Below are 24786 nucleotides of genomic sequence, written 5' to 3'. Positions count from 1 at the left end.
CACATAAAGAATAAAAAATAAATCTTCCTGTCAATTAAGAGGGGATGACCACAATTCTTATTGTTGAATCATGAACTGATTTTTAGTTTTAAAAACAAGTGTTATAAACTAAGAATAAATTAATATGCTAAAGGCATCACAACCTTCACACCCCACAAAAAGACCAATATATACAAATGAAAACTTGGCATACTCAATATATTTAAATGATTAAGAGCAGGGGCTTTGGAGTCACACAAATCCTGGTGTAAATTCTTGTTCTGCCATCTATGTCCTTGAGCAACCTCATAAACCTCTCTGCCTCAGTTTTTTCACCTGTTAAATGCAATAACATTACTCATTTTCTAGGGTGTTATAAGGCTTAATGATGTATATAAAGCACACTCAAGATAGTGCCTAGTATAAGGTAACTGTTTAGTCAGTGGTATCTGAAACAAATTACGAATATATGCAATAGCATGAACGCATCTTAAAACTGTTACTCTAGGTAAAAGCCAGAAACAAAAGTCTACAAATCATATAATTCCAACTGCCTGACATTCAGAAAAAGGCAAAACTATGGGGACAGTAATCACTTCAGTAGTTGCCAGGGATTGCAGGCAATGGGAGGAGAATGACTACAAAAGGTCATGACGTAATCTTGAGGGAAATGGAAAATTTCTTTTTTTTTTTTTTTTGAGATGGAGTCTCACTCTGTCACACAGACTAGAGTACAATGGCACAATCTTGGCTCACTGCAACCTCTGCCTCCTGGGTTCAAGCGATTCTCCGTGGCCTAGCCTTCTGAGTAGCTGGGACTACAGGCGTGAGCCACCATGCCCATCTAATTTTTTGTGTTTTTAGTAGAGATGGGGTTTCACCATGTTGGCCAGGCTGGTCTCGAACTCCTCACCTCAAGTGATCCACCTGCCTCGGCCTCCCAAAGCGCTGGGATTACAGGCGTGAGCCACTGCGCCCAGCTCTATATCTTGATTACGATAGTTACACATGTGTACACAATTCACCAAAACTCAGAGAATTATATACCTAAAGTGGTAAATTGTACCATATGTAACTTTTTTTGAGAGTCTCCCTCTGTCACCCAGACTGGAGCGCAGTGATGCAATCTCGGCTTACTGGAGCCTCACCCTTCCAGGTTCAAGTGATTCTCATGCCTCAGGCCTCCCAAGTAGCTGGGACCACAGGCGCATGCTACCACGCCCAGCTAATTTTTGTATTCTTTTAGAGGTGCGGTTTCACTATGTTGGCCAGGCTGGTCTTGAACTCCTGAGCTCTAGTGATCCACCCTCCTCGGCCTCTGTCAGTGCTGAGATTACAGGTGTGAGCTACCATGCCCAACCTATTCTTTGTATTATTGCAAATAATGCTTGTATGAACATTCCCGTACAAGTTTTTGTGTGGACATGTGCTTTCATTTCTCTTGGGTGTATACCTAGGAGGGATATTGCTAGGTCATATGGTAACTCTGTTTAACATTTAAGGAACTGTCAAACTTTCCCCAACCAACTTTACCATTTCACATACCAATTCTCAAAATATGAGGGTTTCAATTTTTCCACATCATTGTCAACACTTATTACTGGCAAGTATCGTTATCCTAGTGAGTGTAAAGGGGTATCTCATTGTGATTTGCATTTCCCTAATGAATAATGATGCTTAGAATCTTTTCATGTGCTTATTTGCCATTTGTGGGGTTTTTTTGTTTTTTTTTGTTTTTTTTTTTTGAGACAGTCTCGCTCTGTCGCCCAGGCTGGAGTGCAGTGGTGCAATCTCACCTCACTGCAAACTCCACCTCCCGGGTTCAAGCGATTCTCCTGCCTCAGCGTCCCCAGTAGCTGGGACTACAGGTGCCTGCCACCGCGCCTGGCTAATTTTTGTATTTTTAGTAGAGATGGGGTTTCACCATGTTGGCCAGGCTGGTCTCAAATTCCTGACCTCAGGTGATCCACCCGCCTCAGCCTCCCAAAGTTCTGGGATTACAGGGGTGAGCCACCGCACCCGGTGCCATTTGTGTTTCTTTAAAGAAATGTTTATTCAGATCCTTTGCCCATTTTTTAATTGGGTTAGCTTTTTTAATTAAGCTATAGGAGTTCTCCACCTATTGTTTTAAAGTCAAGCTTATTGAAATGTAAGTTACAGCCAGGCGCGGTGGCTCATGCCTGTAATACCAGCACTTTGGAAGGCCAAGGTGGGCAGATCACTTGAGCTCAGGAGTTTGAGACCAGCCTGGGCAACATGGCAAAACACCGTCTCTACTAAAAATACAAAAATTAGCCAAGCATGGTGACACATGACTATAGTTCCAGCTACTCAGGAGGCTTAGGTGGGAGGATCACGTGAGCCTGGGAGGCAGAGGCTGCGGTGAGCCGAGATCAAGCCACTTCACTCCAGCTGGAGTGACAGAGTGAGACCCCCATCTCAAAAAATAAAAATAAGTAAGGCCAGGCGTGGTGGCTCACACCTGTAATCCCAAGACTTTGGGAGGCCAAGGTGGGTGGATCACCTGAGGTCAGGAGTTCAAGACCAGCCTGGCCAACATGGGGAAACCCTGTCTCTACTAAAAATACAAAAATTAGCCAGGTGTGGTGGCACGTGCCTGTAATCCCAGCTACTCAGGAGGATGAGGCAGGAGAATTGCTTGAACCCGGGAGGTGGAAGTTGCAGTGAGCCAAGATTGCACTGCTGCACTGCAGCCTGGGCAACAAGAGCGAGACTCTGTTTCAAAAATAAATATATAAAGAAAGAATAGAAACACAAATGTTCATCAACTGATGAACAGATGAATAAAATGTGGAATACCCATACAATGGCATATTATGCAGCCATAAAAAGGAATGAAGTACTGATACACGGCTACAACATGGATGAACTTTGAATACATTTTGTTAAAGAAACCAGTCACAAAAGACCACAAATTGTATGATTTCATTTATATGAAATGTCCAGAAGAGGCAAATCTGACCACACACAGTGGCTCACGCTGTAATCCCAGCACTTTGGGAGGCTGAGGCAGGTGGATTACAAGGTCAGGAGTTCGAGACCAGCCTGGTCAACATGGTGAAACCCCGTCCCTACTAAAAATACAAAAATTAGCTTGGCATGGTGGCATGCGCCTGTAGTCCCAGCTACTCAGGAGGCTGAGACAGGAGAATCACTTGAACCTGGGAGGCGGAGCTTGCAGTGAGCCAAGATCGCACCACTGCACTCCAGCCTGGGCGACAGAGTGAGACTCCATCTCTACAACAACAACAACGACGACAACAACAACAACAACAAATTACCCGGGCGTGATGATGGGTGCCTGTAATCCCTGCTACTCAGGAGGCTGAGGCAGAAGAATTGCTTGAACCTGGGAGGCAGAAGTTGCAGTGAGCCGAGATCTCGCCACTGCACTCCAGCCTAGGTGACGAGAGTAAAACTCCGTCTCAAAAAAAATAAAATAAAAAAGTTCAACTTATAAGACTTATCTTATTGAGGCAATCTGATACAGTTAAGCAAATCTGAAAGTTCATTTCAAATGATATGTTTGTTTTAAACATTAAGTAGAAGATGTCTTATTTTGAGAGAGGGTCTCACTCTGTCACCCAGGCTGAAGTGCAATGATGTATGTGATCACGGCTTTACTACAGCCTCAATCTCCTGGGCTCAAGCAATCCTCACACCTCAGCCTCCTGAGTAGCTGTGACTACAGGCACATGCCACCACACCAAGCTAATTTTTTTTAGAGACAAGGTCTTACTATGTTGCCCAGGCTGATCTTGAACTCCTGGGCTCAAGTGATTCTCCCACCTCAGCCTCCTGAGTAGCTGAGACTACAGGCACACACCACCAAGCTCAGCTAATATTTTTTATTTTCTGTAGAGACAAGGTCTCGCCATGTTGCCCAGGCTGGTCTGGAACTCCTGGCCTGAAGTGAGTCTCCCACCTTGGCTTCCCAAAGTGCTGAGATTACAAGCATGAGCCACCACACCCAGCTAAATACAAGTCTTATGCCTAAAAACAGAAGAGTAAGTTATTTTAGTTAAAAGCTTTGGGAGAGAAAAAAAAAAGAAATTTAACAAGCGCAAACACATACTATGTGCCAGGCTCTCTTCTAAGTACTTTATCTGCATAAGCTCATTAAATTCTCATGACAACCCTGTAAGGTCAGTCCTGTTAAATCCCATTTCACAGCTAAGGAAAGTGAGGCACAACAAGGTTAAGCAACTTGTCAAGGTCATACAACTAGTAACAGATGATCTGGGATTTGAACTTAGGCAGCGTAGTTCTCAAAGTCCTTCTGCTATACCACTTCTCCCAATTGGTATAATAATTATTCATGTGGCATTTCGAAGAATCTAGAATATCATCTGAAGTCAGCATGTAAACACATTAACATTTACCTCTTCAAAAATAGCCCTGGAAAAATCCCCACAGCGTAACGTGCCATCATAGCTCAGTGACAGTATGTGGGCCGGATTGGCGGGTGAGAAGTAAAGACAGCTAACTGGCTGACTATGGGGATGAAAAACATAAACTCCATCTTCTTTAGGTTGCTGGGTCTGGAAGAGAGTTGCGGGAAAGGGGAGAGAGAAAAAAACTAGTGAAAAATAGTGATTTTTGCTATGCTATTATGTCATTAAAGAATTTACACTGGATTATATTCAGTCTTTTCTTAGTCTATAATTGTAACCACTCTCCCCTTCACAAAGTCAGAATGAGAAACTTTATCTTGTCATTAACTTTTTTCTAGTTTTCAATCCAACAATACCAAGTCACATTAACAGTGACCAGCTTTCTGTAACTAACAAAATAGTTTATATATTACTGTCAGTTTATAAAATCCTCAGGAAATGATAAATCTACTCTATTTCACACATGGTATAATTGCTAACTAAAACAGTATCAGTACCTTACCACTTTGCTTCTGCAGCAGGCTTCTTCTGTATAATATTAACTTACTCATTCTCAGTGTAATTTTCGTAAGGTATTTGGTCCTGGGACAAAGATAATGGTTTTAAACATACTTTGTCCTCTAAATGCACCATAAAAATGGCCGGGCGCGGTGGCTCACGCCTGTAATCCTAGCACTTTGGGAGGCCAAGGCGGGCGGATCACGAGGTCAGGAGATCGAGACCATCCTGGCTAACATGGTGAAACCCCATCTCTACTAAAAATACAAAAAACTAGCCGGGCGTGGTGGCCGGCACCTGTAGTCCCATCTACTCGGGAGGCTGAGGCAGGAGAATGGCATGAATCCGGGAGGTGGAGCTTGCAGTGAGCCGACATCTCACCACTGCACTCCAGCCTGGGTGACAGAGCAAGACTCCGTCTCAAAAAATAAAATAAAATAAAATAAAATAAAATAAAATAAAATAAAAAAATAACACCATAAAAATGCATGTATTTGAATTTCCATATTAATATACCTACTCCTAAGGACTATCCTTTCCACAACTGGATTGCCAGCTCCTGAGAAGTCGCTTTTCAGAACAAGTTATGTTTCTATGCCATATGGCATATTATGAACCAAAGAATCACCTCTAAATCTGGCTTACTCTACTCTGAAATGGTCAAGCATTTTTGTTTTCTTTTTTATTTTAAATTTTAAAATGGAGAGAAGTATTCTTTAAAAGAAAAAATAAGAGAAAAAATTATTATAATCACACATACTCTTCCTGTTACCAGAGTTAGAAACTACTGACATATTTGTTTATAGCATTTGTTTTCTAGAAAAATAAAATTTTCTCTTGGTATAAAGAACTCAAACAATGCAGAAATGTACAAAGATGGAAGTTTTAAAAAAATCACTCCAGGCCAGGCGCGGTGGCTCACCTGTAATCCCAGCACTTTGGGAGGCTGAGGTGGGTGGATCACGAGGTCAGGAATTCAAGACCAGCCTGGCCAAGATGGTGAAACCCCGTCTCTACTAAAAATACAAAAATTAGCCGGGCGTGGTGGCAGACACCTGTAATTCCAGCTACTCAGGAGGCTGAGGCAGAGAATTGCTTGAACCGGGGAGGCAGAGGTTGCAGTGAGCCAAGATTGCACCACTGAACTCCAGCCTGGGCGACAAAGCGAGACTCCGTCTCAAAAAAAAAAATCATTCCAAATCTAAAATTAACCAAAATTATCATTGAAACACTGAGATTATAGACATCTTTATAGTTAAATTTAATGTGATTTAAAACGGCATATACAGCATGGTCCTTTTTTAAAATTTCTTCGCTATCATTCTATCTGTATAGGTACACATAAATCTGTCAAAATAATATAAGAAAATGAAGCTAAAGGAATTTTTGAATTTCAAGTATTTACAGAGACATTATCTTCTACAATGGCAAAAGTATAAAACAAAAAGCAATTGTAGTCATTATGCTTTTTATTTTTTAAACTGTTAATTTTAGATAATTTATATTGATTTGAGAATATTATTCTCACCCTTCCTCCAACAGTCTTTTTTTTTTTTTTTTTGAGATGAAGTCTCACTCTGTCACCCAGGCTTGAGTGCAGTGGCACGATCTCAGCTCACTGCAACCTCCACCTCCCAGGTTCAAGCGATTCTCCTGTCTCAGCCTCCTGAGTCGCTGGGATTACAGGCACCCACCACCATGCTTGGCTAATTTTTGTATTTTTAGTGGAGACGGGGTTTCACCATGTTGAGACAGCAGGTAATCTGAAATGCAGTTTTTTTGGCCTCAAAAAAAAAAAAAAAAAAGTCTCAACTCTGTCGCCCAGGCTGGAGTGCAGTGGTGCAATGCCGGCTCACTGCAACCTCTGCCTCCCGGGTTCAAGCAATTCTCCTGCCTTAGTTTCCCAAGTGGCTGGGATTACAGGTGCACATCACCATACCCAGCTAATTTTGTATTTTTAGTAGAGACAGGGTTTCACCATGTTAGTCAGGCTGATCTTGAACTCGACCTCAGGTGATTCACCTGCCTCAGCCTCCCAAAGTGTTGGGATTACAGGCATGAGCCACTGCGCCCGGCCTTGTTCATTATTTTATACCAGGATTCATACCACCTACTTGTATGGCGGTGGAGGGTGTTACCACTCCCGTGGGCCAAGAAAACTTCCTTTGAAGACAATCAGTTCTACTACTCACTGTCCCTACTTCTTCTATTTTTCCTGATTTCACCCCAGCAACTATTTCCCCATTCCTCATTGAAAAGAGGAAAAATCGGAATACCCAATGTGCTTCTCTCTACTTTTGATAATATAGAAAATTCTCAGGATTTGGTCAATTTACCAGTATAGATTCTGCACACGGGGCAGGGCAGAAGCTAAATTATGCTGTCTCCTAGCTCTGCTACAGATTTGTTTCTCTCCTTGGTAGCTAGTTTTTGAAGTATACTACATTAGGTTCTGCTTCTTTCTTATTGCAGTAAGTGAATTTTTTTTCTTTTTTTGAGATAGGGTCTCACTCTGTCAATCCAGCCTGGAGTACAGTGACACAATCATGGCTCACTGCAGCCTCAACCGCCTTGAGCTCAGGTGATATTCCCAGCTCAACTTCCTGAGTAGCTGGGACTAATGGCACACACCACTACATCCAGTTTTTTTTTTGTTTGTTTGTTTTTTTTAAGAGACAGGCATCTCACTATGTCACCTAGGCAGGTCTCAAATTAGTGGGCTTAAGCCATCCTCCTGCCTTGACTTCCCAAAGCCCTGGAATTACAAGCATGAGCCACTGCACCCAGCCAGCATGAGGGATCTTATAGGGATGATGAAAATGTTCTAAAACCAGACTATGATAATTAAACAACTAAGTAAACTTATTAAAAACCACTGAGGCCAGGTGCAGTGGCTCACGCCTGTAATCGCAGCTCTGGGAGGCCGAAGCAGGTGAAAATCACTTGAGGTCAGGAGTTCCAGATCAGCCTGGCCAACATGGAGAAGCCTCATCTCTACAAAAAATACAAAAATTAGGCTGGGCACGGTGACTCATTCGTGTAAACCCAGCACTTTGGGAGGCCGAGGCGGGTGGATTACAAGGTCAGGAGTTCAAGACCAGCCTGGCCAAGATGGTGAAACCCCATCTCTACTAAAAAAACAAAAAAATTAGCCAGGTGTGGTAGCGGACGCCTGTAATCCCAGCCACTTGGGAGGCTGAGGCAGAGAACTGCTTGAACCCAGGAGGCGGAGGCTGCAGTGAGCAGAGATCACGCCACTGCATGCCAGCCTGGGCAACAGAGCAAGACTCGTCTCAAAAAAAAAAAAATTAGCCAGGTGTGGCAGCGAGCGCCTATAATCCCAGCTACTCAGGAGGCTGAGGCACGAGAATCACCTGAACCCAGGAGGCAGAGATTGCAGTGAGCCAGGATCACACCACAGCACTCCAGCCTGGGTGACAGAGCAAGATTCCCATCTCAAAAAAAAAGAAAAAAAAGCATTGAATTTTACATTTTTTAAATAGGATTTTATGATAGGTAAATTATTACCTCAATGAAGCCATTTTTTAAAAAAACTGGGGAAATTGTGAGCACAGGATAGACAAGGTAATATTGCTTTTAGACTTGTTAAATCTGTTAATGAGATTGCCAAATGTCCTGGAAAATTAGGTTGATGGAGATACTGGACTACAGAGACCTAGTAATACAGATTTTTTTTTTTTTTTTTTTTTTTTGAGGTGGTGTTTTGCTCTTGTTTCCCAGGCTGGAGTGCAATGGCGCCATCTCGGCTCACTGCAACCTCCGTCTCCTGTGTTCAAGCAAATCTCCTGCCTCAGCCTCCCAAGTAGCTGGGATTACAGGCATGTGCCACCATGCCCGGCTAATTTTGTATCTTTAGTAGAGATGGGATTTCATCATGTTGTTCAGGCTGGTCTTGAACTCCAGACCTCAGGTGATCCGCCAAACCTTGGCATCCCAAAGTGCTGGGATCACAGGTGTGAGCCACCGCGTCCGGCTGTAATACAGATTTTTGGAGTCATCATGAAAGATATGAAAAAAGGATTTTTATGTATGTCTTAAATCTATACAGATCAACTCATCCAAAAAAAAACCTTCATTTAATCATGCTAATTTTCAATTTTTCCTTTGCAAAATTCTTCAAAAAGTAGTCTCAGATGGGTGTGGTGGCTCACACCTGTAATCCCAGCACTTTGGGAGGCTGAAGCAGGTGGAGTGCTTGAGCTCAGGAGTTTGAGATGAGCCTAGGCAACATAGTGAGACCCATCTCTACAAAAAGTTAAAAAATTAGCCAGGTGTGGTGGCACATGACCGTAGTCCCAGCTACGCAGGAAGCTGAGGTGGAGAATTGCTTGACCGTGGGAAGTTGAGGCTGCAGTGAGCTATGATCATGCCACTGCACTCCAGCCTGGGCAACAGAGTGGGACCGTATCTCAGGGGCGGGAAAAAAAAAAAAAAGTCTCTATCCAATGCTTCTCCAGTTCTTTCATTACCCCCATACTTCCTTAATCTCCTAAAGCCTTTGTTCCTTACTTACCTCATTGTCAAAGCTATTCTCTCAACTCACTACATGGTACCCTATTTTCAAAATCAATGGCCTTTTCTCCATTCTTTTAACTTCTCTGCAAAAGGCTCTGTCAACCTCCCATCCTTGAAACTCATCTCTTGGCTTCCAAAACATACTATTCTGATCTTCTTCCCACTTTTTTGCTTCAGTTTTCTTTGCTAAATCCTATCACCTCCTATCCCCACTCACATCTTATCAAAATAAGGGAGAATCTATGATCCCAAAATAAGAACTTGGTTTCTGTCTTCAAACTTGCAAATTTTGTTTATAAACCCCAACCAACTTCAAGTCACCACTATTTCTTCACCTTCATTAATTGTCCTTATGGCATTTTTCATGTCTTTGGTCTTCTTCCCCAATAAGAAAATAAATTCAGAGAACATTAACTTGACTTTTCTCAATTTTGTAATAACAGACAGTATTTCATGCAGAATTATATGCACAATGAATGGAATTCAGTATCTATTTCTGACTCATCAAAGATAACTAAAATCATTCCAAAGCAGGTCCCTGGGAAGATATTTTGATACAGCTTAGAAACTGTTTCTTAGTCCATTTGGGATGCTAAAACAACATACCATAAACTGAGTGGCTTATCAACAGCAGCATTTTATTTCTCACAGTCCTGGTGACTAGGAAGACCAAGATCAAGCTTCCAGTTCATTCAGTGTCTGGTAAGGGCCTACTTTCTGGTTCATAGTTGGTGCCTTCTAGCTGTGTCCTCATATGGTAGAAGGGACAGTGGTCTCTCCTGGGTTTCTTTTATAAGGGCACTAATCTTATTCATGACCTAATCACCTCCCAAAGGTCCTACCTCCTAATACCATAGGGATTAGTATTTCAACATATGAATTTTGGGGAAGACAAAAACATTCAGACCATAGCAGACCATATTTTAAACACAACTAGAAAACTAAACTTCGGGCTGGGCGCCGTGGCTCATGCCTGTAATCCCAGCACTTTGGGAGGCCAAGGCAGGCAGATCACGAGGTCAGGAGATCAAGACCATGGGGAAACCCCACCTCTACTAAAAATAGAAAAAATTAGCCAGGCATGGTGGCAGGCGCCTGTAGTCCCAGCTACTCGGGAGGTTGAGGCAAGAGAATGGCGTGAACCTGAGAGGCGGAGCTTGCAGTGAGCCGAGATCACACCACTGCACTCCAGCCTGGGCGACAGAGCAAGACTCCCTCTCCAAAAAAAGAAAACTAAACTTTGATCTTTTTTTTTTTTTTTTTTTTTTTTTTTACACAGAGTCTCGCTCTGTCGCCCAGGCTGGAGTGCAGTGGTGCGATCTCGGCTCACTGCAAGCTCCCCCTCCCAGGTTCACGCCATTCTCCTGCTTCAGCCTCCCGAGTAGCTGGGACTACAGGCACCTGCCACCACGCCTAGCTAATTTGTTCCATTTTTAGTAGCGATGGGGTTTTTTAGTAGAGACGCGGTTTCACTGTGTTAGCCAGGACGGTCTCGATCTCCTGACTTCGTGATCCACCCGCCTCGGCCTCCCAAAGTGCTGGGATTACAGGCGTGAGCCACCGCTCCCAGCCCTTTTTTTTTTTTTGAGACGGAGTCTTACTCTATCACCCAGGCTGGATGGCACAGTGTCGACTCACTCCAACCTCCGTCTCCTGGGTTCAAGCAATTCTCCTGCCTCAGCCTCCTGAGTAGCTGGGATTACAGGCACCTACCACCACGCCCAGCTAATTTTTGTATTTTTTTACTACAGACGGGGTTTCACCATGTTGGCCAGGCTGGTCTCGAACTCCTGACCTCAGGTGATCCGACCGCCTCAGCCTCTCAAAGTGCTGGCATTACAGGCGTGACCCACCGCACCCGGCCACTTTAAATGTATATGTGAAAAGATCACACAAAGTGTAACAAAGTTTTCTGGCAGTTAATTTATGACCAGATGGTTAATGATATTCAAGCTAAAAATATTAAAGTTCTATAAAGCAAATTTAAATTCTTCCAGATTTCTAAAATTTGGAATCATAAAGCATCATAAAGCCCAAAATTGTAAGTCTCACGCAACATTTATAAACACATGGCTCTAGCCTATTCTCTTCCAGCCTATTTGCTTTAGTCAAACTATAATATATTCAAGAAATTTAATAACTTACCAAATCACAAAGTCCAACTTGCCCAAATTTGGCCCCAACTGCTACCAAAGTTCTAGTTTCTGATGGATGGAGAGCCATAGAGAATATTGGGCCTGTGGTAACTTTGTAAACGGTATCTTCACTAATGACCATGCCATTTAAATTGGCTTTGTAGCTAAGAAAATTACAAAGTTAAATTTTGTAAGTAAAACCAATCTCAATAGTCAAAATAAGTAAAAGATTATTCAAAAAGAAAAATCACAATTAGCAAATAAATATGGGAACTATTCAATCTCCTGGTAACCAAGGAAATCAAATTAAGCAATATTCTTTCACTTTTTAAATTACCCTTGATAATTTTAATAACACCAAAAGCTGGTAGGCTGCAGTTAAATACACATACTCACACATATTGCTAGTGGAAGAGTAAGTTCATATAAAATGTTCAGAAGAAAAAAAAAGACCTTTGAGCAACAATTCGGCAATGTGTACTAAAAGCCATAAAAATGTTCACAATATTTGATGCATTAATCTCACTTCTGGAAATCTAACCTAAAGAAATAATCCACTATCATATCCATATACTTCAACAAACACATACACAAACACACAAAGCTAAATGGAAAACAACCGCAAATACCAAGCAGGTAGGAGGAGAAGTGAACTCCTTCTACTCAATGGAATATTTTATAATTATTCAATAATTTTAAAGACTCTAGTAACATGCAACCGCAAATGAAAAAAAACATAACGCAGGCCAGGCACACTGGCTCACACCTGTAATCCCAGCACTTTGGGAGTCCAAGGCAGACAGCTCACTTGAGCCCAGGTATTCAAGACCAACCTGGGCAACACAGCAAAATCTCATCTCTACAAATACAAAAATTAGTGAGATGTGATGGTGCACGCCTGTAGTCCAAGCTACTTGGGAGGCTGAGGTGGGAGGATCATTTGAGCCCAGGAAGCGAAGGTTGCAATGAGCCAAGATAGTGCCACTGCACTGCAGCCTAAGCGATAGAGGGAGACCTTGTCTCAAAAAACAAAAAAAAAAAAAAAAAAAAAGAAAAAGAAAAAAGTGTAATGCAAAATTGTATATACATTACAACATATAGTAAAAATGTATGTGGATTCACTCATTTATTCAACACTGAACATATATTATGTGCCAGGCACTGTTCTGGTTATTGAAATAGAATTCTTGCTTATATCCTAGTGGTATTGTATATGAAGCTTATATCCTAGTGGTATTGTATATGGCAACACTTGTGAGGAAATACACAAAAACAACAGTTGTTAGGGTGGAAACATTTCATCTCACTTTCAAAATTCCCTAAAATGGCGTATAGTCTTTATAACTCAAACATCTCAAAAAATATAAAAGAAACACAAGGAATTTCAACTTACCTTTTAATGCTAGATAATCCCTTCTCAGTGTTCTTACTACTTGGCTGAAACATTGGGAGAGATGAAAGAACTAAGTTAGTATGTATATATTTTTACATATATATATATTTCCTTAACAGATGATTCTAAAGGCTATTGGCCTTCCCAAGTGATACCTTGCTCATTCCTGCCCATGTGTGCAGAAATCCTTTAAATCGTTCATTGTTGTCTTCTTGATTTTCAGAAGTCATTTCTAAAGGCCCAGGAGGTAACAAAGGCTGTTATAAAAAATAAAAAGTTATTTGTTGGGCTCCCTGCCCTAGAATATAAACACAAGGAGGGCAAGGGTATTTGTCTGTTTTCCCCACAACTTCACTTTCAACATCAACAGTAATGGTGGCATATCATGGACATTCAAAATAATTGTTCAATAAATGAATGCCAGGTACCCTATAAAGTAATAATAACATGTATTATCTCATTTAATCCTCTCAACAACCTAGCAAATGAGGTATCACATTTTAAAGACAGTGGATTGAAACTTAGAGACTGTAATCCCAGCACTTTGGCAGGCCGAGGCAGGCGGATCACAAGGTCAGGAGTTCGAGACCAGCCTGGCCAATATGGTGAAATCCCATCTCTACTAAAAATACAAAAATTTGCTGGGCGTGGTGGCAGGCACCTGTAATCCCAGCAGCTCAGGAGGCTGAGGCAGGAGAATCGTGTGAACCCAGGTGTTGGAGGTTGCAGTGAGCCAAGACTGCACTATTGCACTCCAGCCTGGGTGACAGGGCAAGACTCCATCTCAAAAAAAAACAAAAAACAAAAACAAAAAAACCCCAGAAACTTAAGAGGAGTTAACTTGCCCAAAGTCACACAGCCAATAACTGGAGAAGCTGAGAATTGACTCAGATTATCTTAACTCATTACTCAGTATTATACCTACATCAGTATTTTTTTAAACAGTTTGTAACCAATTAGTGGGTGAGAAATCATGTTAGTATGTCACAACTAGCAATTTGTTGTAGTGAATGAGAATAGAATAGAAATACCAGGCCAGGTACATGGCTCACACCTGTGATCCCTGCACTTTGGGAGGCTGAGGCAGGCAAATAGCTTGAGGCCAGAAGTTCCAGACCAGCCTGGCCAACATGGCGAAACCCCATTTCTACTAAAAATACAAAAATTAGCCATGCGTGGGCCGGGTGCGGTGGCTCATACCTGTAATCCTAGCATTTTGGGAGGCCGAGGCGGGCAGATCATGAGGTCAGATTGAGACCATCCTGGCTAACGCAGTGAAACCCCATCTCTACTAAAAATACAAAAAAATTAGCCGGGCGTGGTGGCAGGTGCCTATAGTCCCAGCGGAGGCTGAGCCAGGAGAATGGCATGAACCTGGGATGCAGAGCTTACAGTGAGCCAAAATCACAGCACCGCACTCCAGCCTGGGCAACAGATTGAGACTCCGTCTCAAAAAAAAAAAAAAAAAAACAAAAAAACAAAACTTAGCCAGGCGTGGTAGCACACACCTACAGTCCCAGCTACTCTGGAGGCTCAGGCATGAGAATCACTTGAACCCGGGAGGCGGAGGTTGCAGTGAACTGAGATTGTGCCACTGCACTCCAGCCTGGGTGACAGAGGGAGACTCTGTCTCAGAAAGAAAAAAAAAAAAGAAATACCAAAGTGCACCACATGTATTAAGTGTCGTTTGACAAACTGTGGTTTCAGTTGCATATATGTGTGATAGTTACAATGTAAATAAATATATATATATATTTTTAAATTAACGTCTCAAGTGATGCTCCCACCTCAGCCTCCTGAGGAGCTGGGACTACAGGCACATGCCACCACACCCAGCTGATTTTTGTATTTTTTTTGTAAGAACAGGGTCTCTTGATGTTGCCTAGGCTGGTCTCAAACTTCTGGGTTCAAGCGATCCTCCTGCCTCAGCCTCCCAAAGTGCTGGGATTACAGGCATGAACCACTACACCTGGCCACAAATATATTTCTTGTGGGCTGAGGCTTCAAAAAAATTTGAAGCTACTCTTCTATGCTGCTTCCCATAACACCTAGATTTGCAATTTGCTCCCAAAACACCAGCCTAATTAGTGCTATCTTCCTATTTACAATTAAACACTTACATATAAAGTATTAAAAATAGGTGTTCTTGAATAAAAAATATTTAGAAAATGTTTGCTAAATAAAACTCTACTCACTAAAACTACACATTATCACGTATTTATTAACATTAATAACTATATTCTATTGATTACTAAGCCCCTAATATGTGAGAAACTTTATAGATATGATTTCATTTATCTTTACAGTAGCTCTTTGAGGTTTTTTTTTTAAACTGACATAAAATTGTACATATTTACTGAGGGTTCTATTATTGCTGACTTTTTTTTAATGGAGAAACAATCAGAAAGGTTAATTAACTCACCCACAATCCTAAGCAGGTAAGTCCTGCAGAAATACAGAATCCAATACAGTCTTTACGACTTCGAAATCTTACTCATTAAAGCGTACAAATGGGCCGGGCACAGTGGCTCACACCTGTAATCCCAGCACTTTGGGAGGCCGAGGCAGGCAGACCACTTCAGGTCAGGAGTTCAAGACCAGCCTGGCCAGCATGGTGAAACCCCGTCTCTACCAAAAATAAAAAAAATCAGCCAGGTATGGTGGCATGTGCCTGTAATCCCAGCTATTCGGGAGGCTGAGGCAGGAGAATCGCTTGAACACGGGAGGAGGGGGTTGCAGTGAGGCAAGATCATGCCACTGCACTCCAGTCTGGGCGACAGAGTGAGACTCCATCTCAAAAAAACAAAACAAAACCATACAACATTCAAGTATTAATGAAATATAAAATTAAACATAATTTAATGAACTTTTAGTCTAGTTTCAACACTTCAAATTTTTCAGTATTTTATTACATTAAAATATTATATTTGCACATTTCCTTACAGTTTCATCTGCTACTAATGTCGGCGGTGTTGGAGCTGCTGGTAATGAAACTCCCGAAGGATCAACTTTTAGTAATCGCATTGACCTTCTACATCCAATCCCATTTTCTCTCTTAGGCTTCTTTCTAAAGGAGTGGGGAAAAACTCATGTTATACTCACAAAACAATAAAATGTATTTACTAATACTAAAGAGATAACTTCTAGGAATATATACCACAGATATATTTATAAACTGCATAGATATATATATACATGGCCACAATTATCTTAATAAGAAGTATGGAAAAAACAAACCTAAATGTTCATCAAAAAGAGGTGAGGTCTGTTAAATTATGGTATACATATCTAATAGAATAATACGCAGCCATAAAAAGAATGATATAGATCTTTATGCACTGCTGAAAGGAACCCTTGGTTATAAAAAGCAAAAACAAAGTCCAGTACATGTATACAAAAAGGTTACATATACACATACATTTGTACATGCTGAGGTTACCTTTGGAGGAATACACATAAAACTACTACTTCTAGGGAAAAGGCCTGGAAAACTAAGGTCTAAAATAGGAAGGAAACTTAAAACGTTTCACTGCATTCCCTTCCATACACTGTAGTTTACTTTTTAAATAATATACATTCTCTATTTTTTTATGCACTATTTTTTCATTTTTAAAAAAGTAATTCATTTTAAAATGTTGGGGAAAGAGAAGCCTCTGAAATTATTTCCAAAAATTCACATAAAAAATTATCAGTTATAGTCCACATTACTTCGAGAATTAGTAAAACCTACTGATTGAAAGTATACTATATACTAAAAACTGTAGTCAACATTCCATCTCATATTTAATCCTCAAAAAAGACACCTGAGTATATGGAATAATATGGGCTGTCATACAATCCTAGAAATCTACTCCTAGAGAAACTCCCATACATAAGCACTAAGAGACTTAAGAATGTTTGGAGCAGCACTTTTCATAATAAAAATAACAACTCAATTGTTCATCAACAGTAGAATAAAATGTAGTACATTCATACAGTGGAATATCATATAGCAGAAAAAAAGAACGAAATAAAGCTGTGCGCATCAACATGGGTAAATTTAAAAGCATAAATATGTAAAGATGAGCAAAATAAGAAAATCTCAGAATATAAAAAAGGCATATTGTATGTGAACACCAAAAAAAGACAAAGCTAAACAATATAGTGTTTAAGGATACACTCACTGGTAGTAAAACTATAAATCAATAGCCAGGCACAGTGGCTCACACCTGTAATCCCAGCACTTTGGGAGGCTGAGGTGGGTGGATCACTTGAGGTCCAGAGTTCCAGACCAGCCTTGCCAACATGGCGAAACCCCGTATCTACTAAAAATACAAAATTTAGCAGAGCATGGTCATGAGCACCTGTAATCCCAGCTACTCAGAAGGCTGAGGCATGAGAATTGCTTGAACCTGGGAGGCAGAGGCTGCAGTGAGCCAAGATTACACCACTGTACTCCAGCCTGGGCAACAGAGCAAGACTCTGTCTCAAAAAAATAAATAAATAAAAATGAAACTATAGGCTGGGCACAGTGGCTCACGCCTGTAATCCCAGCACTTTGGGAGGCCGAGGCAGGCGGATCACGAGGTCAGGAGATTGAGACCATCCTGGCTAACACGGTGAAACCCCGTCTACTAAAAATCCAAAAAATTAGCCGGGCGTGGTGGCGGGCGCCTATAGTCCCAGTTACTCGGGAGGCTGAGGCAGGAGAATGGCATGAACCTGGGAGGTGGAGGTTGCAGTGAGCCGAGATCGCGCCACTGCACTCCAGACTGGGCAACAGAGCGAGACTCCATCTCAAAAAAAAAAAAAAAAGCAATAAATAAATGCAAGGAAATATTACCACAAAATTCAGCATAGTGGTTGTATCGGGAGGGAGGGGTATATATGGGCCTTCAGGGGTATTCGTAATTTCTATTAACCTGGATGGCAGGTACATGGATGGGACCTGTATAATTTTTCAACTACACAAATACATTATATGTACCTTTTTATATGTATATTTAATAATTTTCAAAAAATTTAAATCCTTCTAGATTAGCATAATGCCAGCTTTACAGAAAGAAAAATTATATAAAGTATCCAAGGTTACTGTCATAGCTGTAAGTGACTGAATCAAAACTTGAACCCAAATTTGCTAAATCTCAAAGGCTACACTTCTGCGCTACATTACACAACTTCCATACTATCAACTTGCTACTGCCTATACAACTATTAAGGGCTAGAATTTTGTGATTTAGGAAGAAATCACCAATCTTGGCTAATAAAAAAATGCAAATGTAAAGCTACTAATCAGCGGGCAACAGGACCAGTGCTACTGTTTTTCCAGTGTTAATGATGTTCCTCTTATAGTAACTTTTCACACTTGAAAATACCTGGCCATGATTAAAGGTCCAGCTTTTCTCAAGCTAATTGTCCTGTAACAGAATCAAACCAAGTAAATGAAGCTACATTTCATTAGGAACTGGCACTAAACAAATGAGCTAATGATACCAAGATTTTAGTTTCTTCATTTATATGTAAGCACTGCTAAAATGCAATGGAGATAATTCAAAATTTAAACACCCTTGAGTTCAAATCCTAAAGCTACCACTTATAAGCTGTTTTGACTTTCAGCAAATAGTTGTTTTTTTTTGTTTTTTTTTTTTTTGTGAGATGGAGTCTCACTCTTATTGCCCAGGCTGGAGTGCAATGGTGCAATCTTGGCTCACCATGACCTCTGCCTCCCGGGTTCAAGCGATTCTCCTGCTTTAGCCTCTTGAGTAGCTGGGATTCAGACATGTGCCACCACACCCGGCTAATTTTTAATTTTTTTTTTTTTTTTAGTAGCGATGGGGTTTCTCCATGTTGGTCAGGCCAGTCTTGAACTCTCGACCTCAGGTGACCCCCTGACTCAACCTCCCAAAGTGCTGGGATTATAGGCATGAGCCACTGCACCCAGCCAACAATTTTATCTTTTGAGCCTGATTTCTAACTCACAAAATGAATATATTACCTACCACATGCAGTGGTTGTCAGAGTTAAATGAGATAATATAGGACAAAATTGCTAGATCACTGCAGTATGTTTCAGAGATATTCAATAAATGTTAATTCCTTTCCTTTATTCTAGGACTAAGAAAGCAAAAACAAATTGAGACGCAAAAAGATAGCCAGAAAAATTAAAAGTAAGTAGAAGAATCTTTAATAGTTTTCTAAGTGACAGTAATTTAGTGGAAATAAAGATTTCCCTTCATTAGTAGCAACAATAAATATAAACAAAATTCAGCTCTCCATTTTATTTGCTCCATATTCCTTTGATGAAGATGAGAATTGTAAAGTTATTAAAGGGTAGCATTCCCTCAGAGATCCTAGAGGGACTGAGATTAAATAGCACTTTATGATCTGTTAAGCTTACCACACCAAACCATTTTTTTCAAATTATAAAACAGTTGAGCAATGTATCATGGTTCAGGCATTGCAAACTAGATATTTTACCTTTTGGATTTAGGAGGCTGTCTCTTCTCTATCATTTCACGGAGTCTTGCAGCAGACTGTAAAGTATAAAAATCATGTAAAAATGTTATAACTACGTATCTTACCTTTTAAAATATTAAGCATCTGCTACTATACCCACACTAAACTAAGGTCTATTCAGGAACTAAAGATCCTTAAGATAGGCCATGAGTCATGATCAGCGCCACTGTACTCCAGCCTGGGCAACGCAGCGAGACCCTGTCTCAAAAAAAAAAAAGACAGGCCAGGCATGGTGGATCACAACTGTAATCCCAGCACTTTGGGAGGTCAAGGCAAGTAGATCACCCGAGGTCAGCAGTTCGAGACCAGCCTTACCAACATGGTGAAACCCCATTCCTACTAAAAATACAAAAATTACAGGCGTGGTGGCGGGCGCCTGTAATCCCAGCTACTTGGGAAGCTAAGGTAGGAGAATCACTTGAACCCGGGAGGCAGAGGTTGCAGTGAGCCAAGATCGTGCCATTGCACTCCAGCCTGGGCAACAAGAGCAAAACTCCGTCTCAAAAAAAAAAAAAAAGACAAAAAAAATAATGCCTTAGAATCAACAGAGTACAGTAACCTCTTCCTATTAAGCACAAAACCTGCTCCAATTTTACCCTCCCTCATATGACACTATGAAACCTGATATGTTATTGACCTGGTGGGAGTTATGACATCTTGGGTTTTACGGCTCTTGTTGTTGCTGTTTTGAGACAGGGTCTGGCTCTGTTGCCCAAGCTGGAATGCAGTGGCATGATCATAGCTCACGGCAGCCTTGACTTTCCAAACTCAAGCCATCCTTCCACCTCAGCCACCCCAGTAGCTAGGACTCCAGACATGCATCACTATGCTCAACTAATTTACTTTTTATAGAGATTGGGGTGGGGGGCGGGGGGCGGGGGGCGGGTCTCCGTATGTTACCCAGGCTGATCTCGAACTCCTGGCCTCAAGCGATTCTCCCATGTCAGCCTCCCCAAGTGACAGGATTACAGGCGCTACCCACTGTTCCCGGCCCTGCATCTTGCTTTTAAATAGACTCCACACAAACCTCAGACAACTGAAGAGAAGCAAAAAAGTCTGCGTTTTCTGATATGTTCTTCAGTCTCTTCCTTTCGTAGGGTGACAATCCCGAAAAATCCTATAAAATTACACCAAAAAGATTCCATTACTTTATATAATCTACAGGAAAAGCACTTCACAAAACTACATGTTTCATTTTCTACATGAATACTTTACTTCAAATTGTACTATCTCTATTCATTTCATCATCTTACCAAAACAGACGTTTGCTGAATTGGATATTTCAGTAAGTCTGGATTTGGGATACCCCCAAAATATCTGTATGGCTTCCCAGTTAAGAAGTGATCTGATATTAGAAATCAAGTAGTATGATCTAGTAGCAAATTATTTCCTAGTGGCAATTAATTGTACTATTACACAAAAGTTATTTTTGGCCAGGGGCAGTGGCTCACGCCTGTAATCCCATCAATTTGGGAAGCTGAAGTGGATGGAACACCTGAGGTCTGGAGTTCAAGACCAACCTGGCCAAAATGGTGAAACCTCATCTCTACTAAAAATATAAAAGTTGGTCAGACGTGGTGGCTCACACCTGTAATCCCAGCACTTTGGGAGGCCGAAGTGGGCAGATCACCTGAAGTCAGGAGTTCGAGACCAGCCTGGCCAACATGGTGAAATCCTGTCTCAACTAAAAATACAAAAAAAAAAAAAAAATTAGCCAGGTATAGTGGCAGGAGCCTGTAATCCCAGCTACTCAGGAGGCCGGGGCAGGAAAATCGCTTGAACCTGGGAGGTGGGGGTTGCAGCAAGCCGAGATCGCACCATTGCACTCTAGCCTGGACAATAAGAGCGAAACTCCGTCTCAAAAAAAAAAAAAAAAAAAGTTATTTTTTTCCAACAAAAAAACTTCCCTTAAACGCAGTAGAGTGAGTAAGTACATGTCTCTACTTTCTCCTAAAAAGCCACTAATGTAACAGTAAGCTAATTTTTTAAAACCCTGAGATATAAGGCAGTATATTCAGGAAATAGCAAAATACTGTAAGAAAAGAAAATTCAAAAAATAAGAACTCAATAGTTTTTAAATCCATGAAAAGGCTTAAATTTAGAAAGTAGAACAAAAAGATAAACACATGAACAGAAAAGACAAAAAAATACTCAGTCTTAGAGGTCCAATATCCAATTCATTGTTCGAGAAACTGCTGAGAAATTGGAAGAGAATCAATTATTAAAAAATAATATAAATGGCAGGCCGGGTGTGGTGGCTCACGCCTGTAATCCTAGCACTTTGAGAGGCCGAGGCAGGCAGATCACCAGGTCAGGAAATCAGGACCATCCTGGCCAGCATGGCAAAACCCAGTCTCTACTAAAAATACAAAAATTAGCCGGGTGTGGTGACACACGCCTGTAGTCCCAGCTACTCGGGAGGCTGAGACAGAAGAATTGCTTGAACCCGGGAGATGGAGGTTGCAGTGAACCCAGATCATGCCACTGCACTCCATCCAGCCTGGGCCACAGAGCAAGACTCCGTCTCAAAAAACAAACAAACAAAAAAAAAAAAGAAAGGGCTGGGAGCAGTGGCTCACGCCTGTAATCCCAGCACTTTGGGAGGCAGAGGCAGGCAGATCACAAGGTCAGGAGATCGAGACCATCCTAGCTAACACAGTGAAAGCCCATCTCTACTAAAAAATACAAAAAATTAGCCGGGCATGGTGGTGGGCGCCTGTAGTCCCAGCTACACAGGAGGCTGAGGCAGGAGAATGGCATGAACCCGGGAGGCGGAGCTTGCAGTGAGCCGAGATGGCGCCACTGCACTCCACTCTGGGCAACAGAGCCAGACTCCATCTCAAAAAAAAAAAAAAAAGAAAAGAAAAGAAAGAAAAATAACGTTAAGTGGGAGACCAAAGCAGGAGGATCACTGGAGCCCAGAAGTTCAAGTTTGTAGTAAGCTATGATGACACCACTGTGTTCTAGCCTGGGCAACAGAGTGAGACCCCATCTCTAAAAAATAATAGTTTGAAAACAAATATTATTTTAAAGTTTCTCAAAACTAAAGACATGAGCTTCCAGATTAAAAAGGCCCAATGAGTATGCAGCCTTTGGATGCATAATGAATGAAAAAGGACCCAGGCAAGCAAGCTCAGTGGCTCATGCATGTAATCCCAGCACTTTGGGAGGCCACCAGGCAGATCACTAGAGGCCAGGAACTTGAAACCAGCCTGGCCAACGTGTCGAAACCCCGTCTCTACTAAAAATACAAAAAAACTAGCTGGGTGTGGTAGTGCACACCTGTAATCCCAGCTACTTGGGAGGCTGAGGCACAAGAGTTGCTTGAACCTGGGAGGCAGTGGTTGCAGTGAGCCGAGATCACACCACTGCATTCTAGCTGCCAGGGCAAGAGCCGAGACTGTCTCAAAAAAAAAAAAAAAAAAAAAAAAAAACAAAGCAAGCCGGGTGCAATGGCTCATGCCTGTAATCCAAGCACTTTGGGTGGGCAGATCACCTGAGATCAGGAGTTCGAGACCAGCCTAGCCACCATGGTGAAACCTAATCTCTACTAAAAATACAAAAATTACCCAGGCATGGTGGCGCATGCCTGTAGTCCTAGCTACTCAGGAAGCTGAGACAGGAGAATCGCTTGAACCTAGAAGGCAGAGGTTGCAGTGAGGCAAGACTGTGCCACTGCTCTCCAGCCTGGGCGACAGGGTGAGACCCCACCTCAAGAAAAAAAAACAAAAAAACAAAAAAAAAACAAAGATGAACCCAGGCCTCGGCATGTTATCACAATTTTTTTTTTTAAAGTGATAGCGTCTCACTCTGTCACCCAGGCTGAAGTGCATTGGCTTGATTATAACTTACTGCAGCCTTGCACTCCTGGGCTCCAGCCTTAGCCTCCCAAGAAGCTGAAACTACAGGCCTGCCTTACCACACCCAGCCAGAAAAGATCTTAAAAGCATGCAGAGGGGAAAAAAAGATCACAAAGAATCCAGAATCAGAATGGCACAAACTTTCAACATTGAAGGAAGCTGGAAGACAATGGAACAATGCATTAAAAATTCTAAGGAAAGATTATTTTCAACTTACAATTCTAAATCCAATTAGGTCATCAATCAAATATAAAGCTAAAGACTTTTTCTGGGCCAGGTGCAGTGGCTCACGCCTATAATCCTAGCACTTTGGGAGACTGAAGCCGGCAGATCACGAGGTCAGGAGTTTGAGACCAGCCTGGCCAATATGGTAAAACCCCATCTCTATTAAAAAAACAAAAAGTTACAGTAAGCTGAGATCGCACCACTACATTCCAGCCTGGGCGACAGGTGAGACTCCGTCTCAAAAAAAAAAACAAAAAAATTTCTCTGATATGCAAAGTATTTGCCTCGTATACACTTTTTCTCAGAAAGCTGTACTTCACCAAAATGAAAGAATAAACCAAGAAAGAAAGACATGGCATGCGCGGTGGCTCACGCCTGTAATCCCAGCACTGTGAGAGGCTGAGGCAGGCAGATCACTTGAGGTCAGGAGTTAAAAACCAGCCTGGCCAACATGGAGAAACCCCTTCTCCACTAAAAATACAAAAAATTAGCTAGGCATGGTGGCACACGCCAGTAATCCCAGCTACTCGGGACGCTGAGATGGGAGAATCGCTTGAACCTGGGAGGTGAAGGTTGCAGTGAGCTGAGATCGTGCCTCTGCACTCCATCCTGGGTAATAGAGTGAGACCCTGTCTCAAAAAAAAAAAGTATCTTGGCTGGGCTCAGTGGCTCACATCTGTAATCCCAGCACTTTGGGAGGCCGAGGTGGGCAGCCTGCTTGAGCCCAGGAGTTTTAGACCAGCCTGGGCAATAAATATGGCACACCCACATCTCTACAAAATAAAAAGTCAAAATTAGCCTGGCAAGGTGGCACATGCCTGTAGTCCCAGCTATTTGGGAGGCTTTATTTTTTACTTTTTTAAAACAAGAGTCTTGCTCTGTCACCCAGGCTGGAGTGCAGTGGCCTGATCTCAGCTCACTGCAACCTCCACCACCTAGGTTCAAGCGATTCTCCCATCTCAGCCTCCCGAGTAGCTCAGATTACAGGCACCTGCCACCACGCCTGGCTAATTTTTATATTTTCTTTTTTTTTGGTGGGGAAGTGGGGACAGAGTCTCGCTCTGTCGCCCAGGCTGGTGTGCAGTGGTATGATCTCGGCTCACTGCAACCTCTACCTCCTCAGTTCAAGCAATTATCCTGACTCAGCCTCCTGAGTAGCTGGGACTACAGGTGCCCACCACCATGCCTGGCTAATATTTGTTATATTTAGGAGAGACAGGCTTTCACCATGTTGGCCAGGCTGGTCTCCAA

General features: G+C 41.9%; 1 protein-coding gene across 2 annotated transcripts in view; it reads right to left on the bottom strand.

The window, feature by feature from the left end:
• Positions 1-24786, bottom strand: part of WDR76 (WD repeat domain 76) — a 41411-nt gene that overhangs the window by 12785 nt on the left and 3840 nt on the right. For both annotated transcript variants that reach the window (NM_024908.4, NM_001167941.2), the window contains exons 3-9: positions 20478-20567; positions 19412-19467; positions 15900-16023; positions 13112-13213; positions 12957-13000; positions 11574-11727; positions 4383-4541 (exon numbers count right to left, since the gene is read on the bottom strand). In NM_024908.4, the coding sequence (NP_079184.2) occupies positions 4383-4541; positions 11574-11727; positions 12957-13000; positions 13112-13213; positions 15900-16023; positions 19412-19467; positions 20478-20567 (729 nt within the window). The remainder of the gene's footprint in view (positions 1-4382; positions 4542-11573; positions 11728-12956; positions 13001-13111; positions 13214-15899; positions 16024-19411; positions 19468-20477; positions 20568-24786) is intronic.

Source organism: Homo sapiens, chromosome 15 (genome assembly GCF_000001405.40).
Source record: "Homo sapiens chromosome 15, GRCh38.p14 Primary Assembly".
In the NCBI taxonomy this organism is placed as follows: domain Eukaryota; kingdom Metazoa; phylum Chordata; class Mammalia; order Primates; family Hominidae; genus Homo; species Homo sapiens.
Note: the sequence above shows the minus strand (reverse complement) of the source record. Positions and strands in the feature narration are given on the sequence as shown.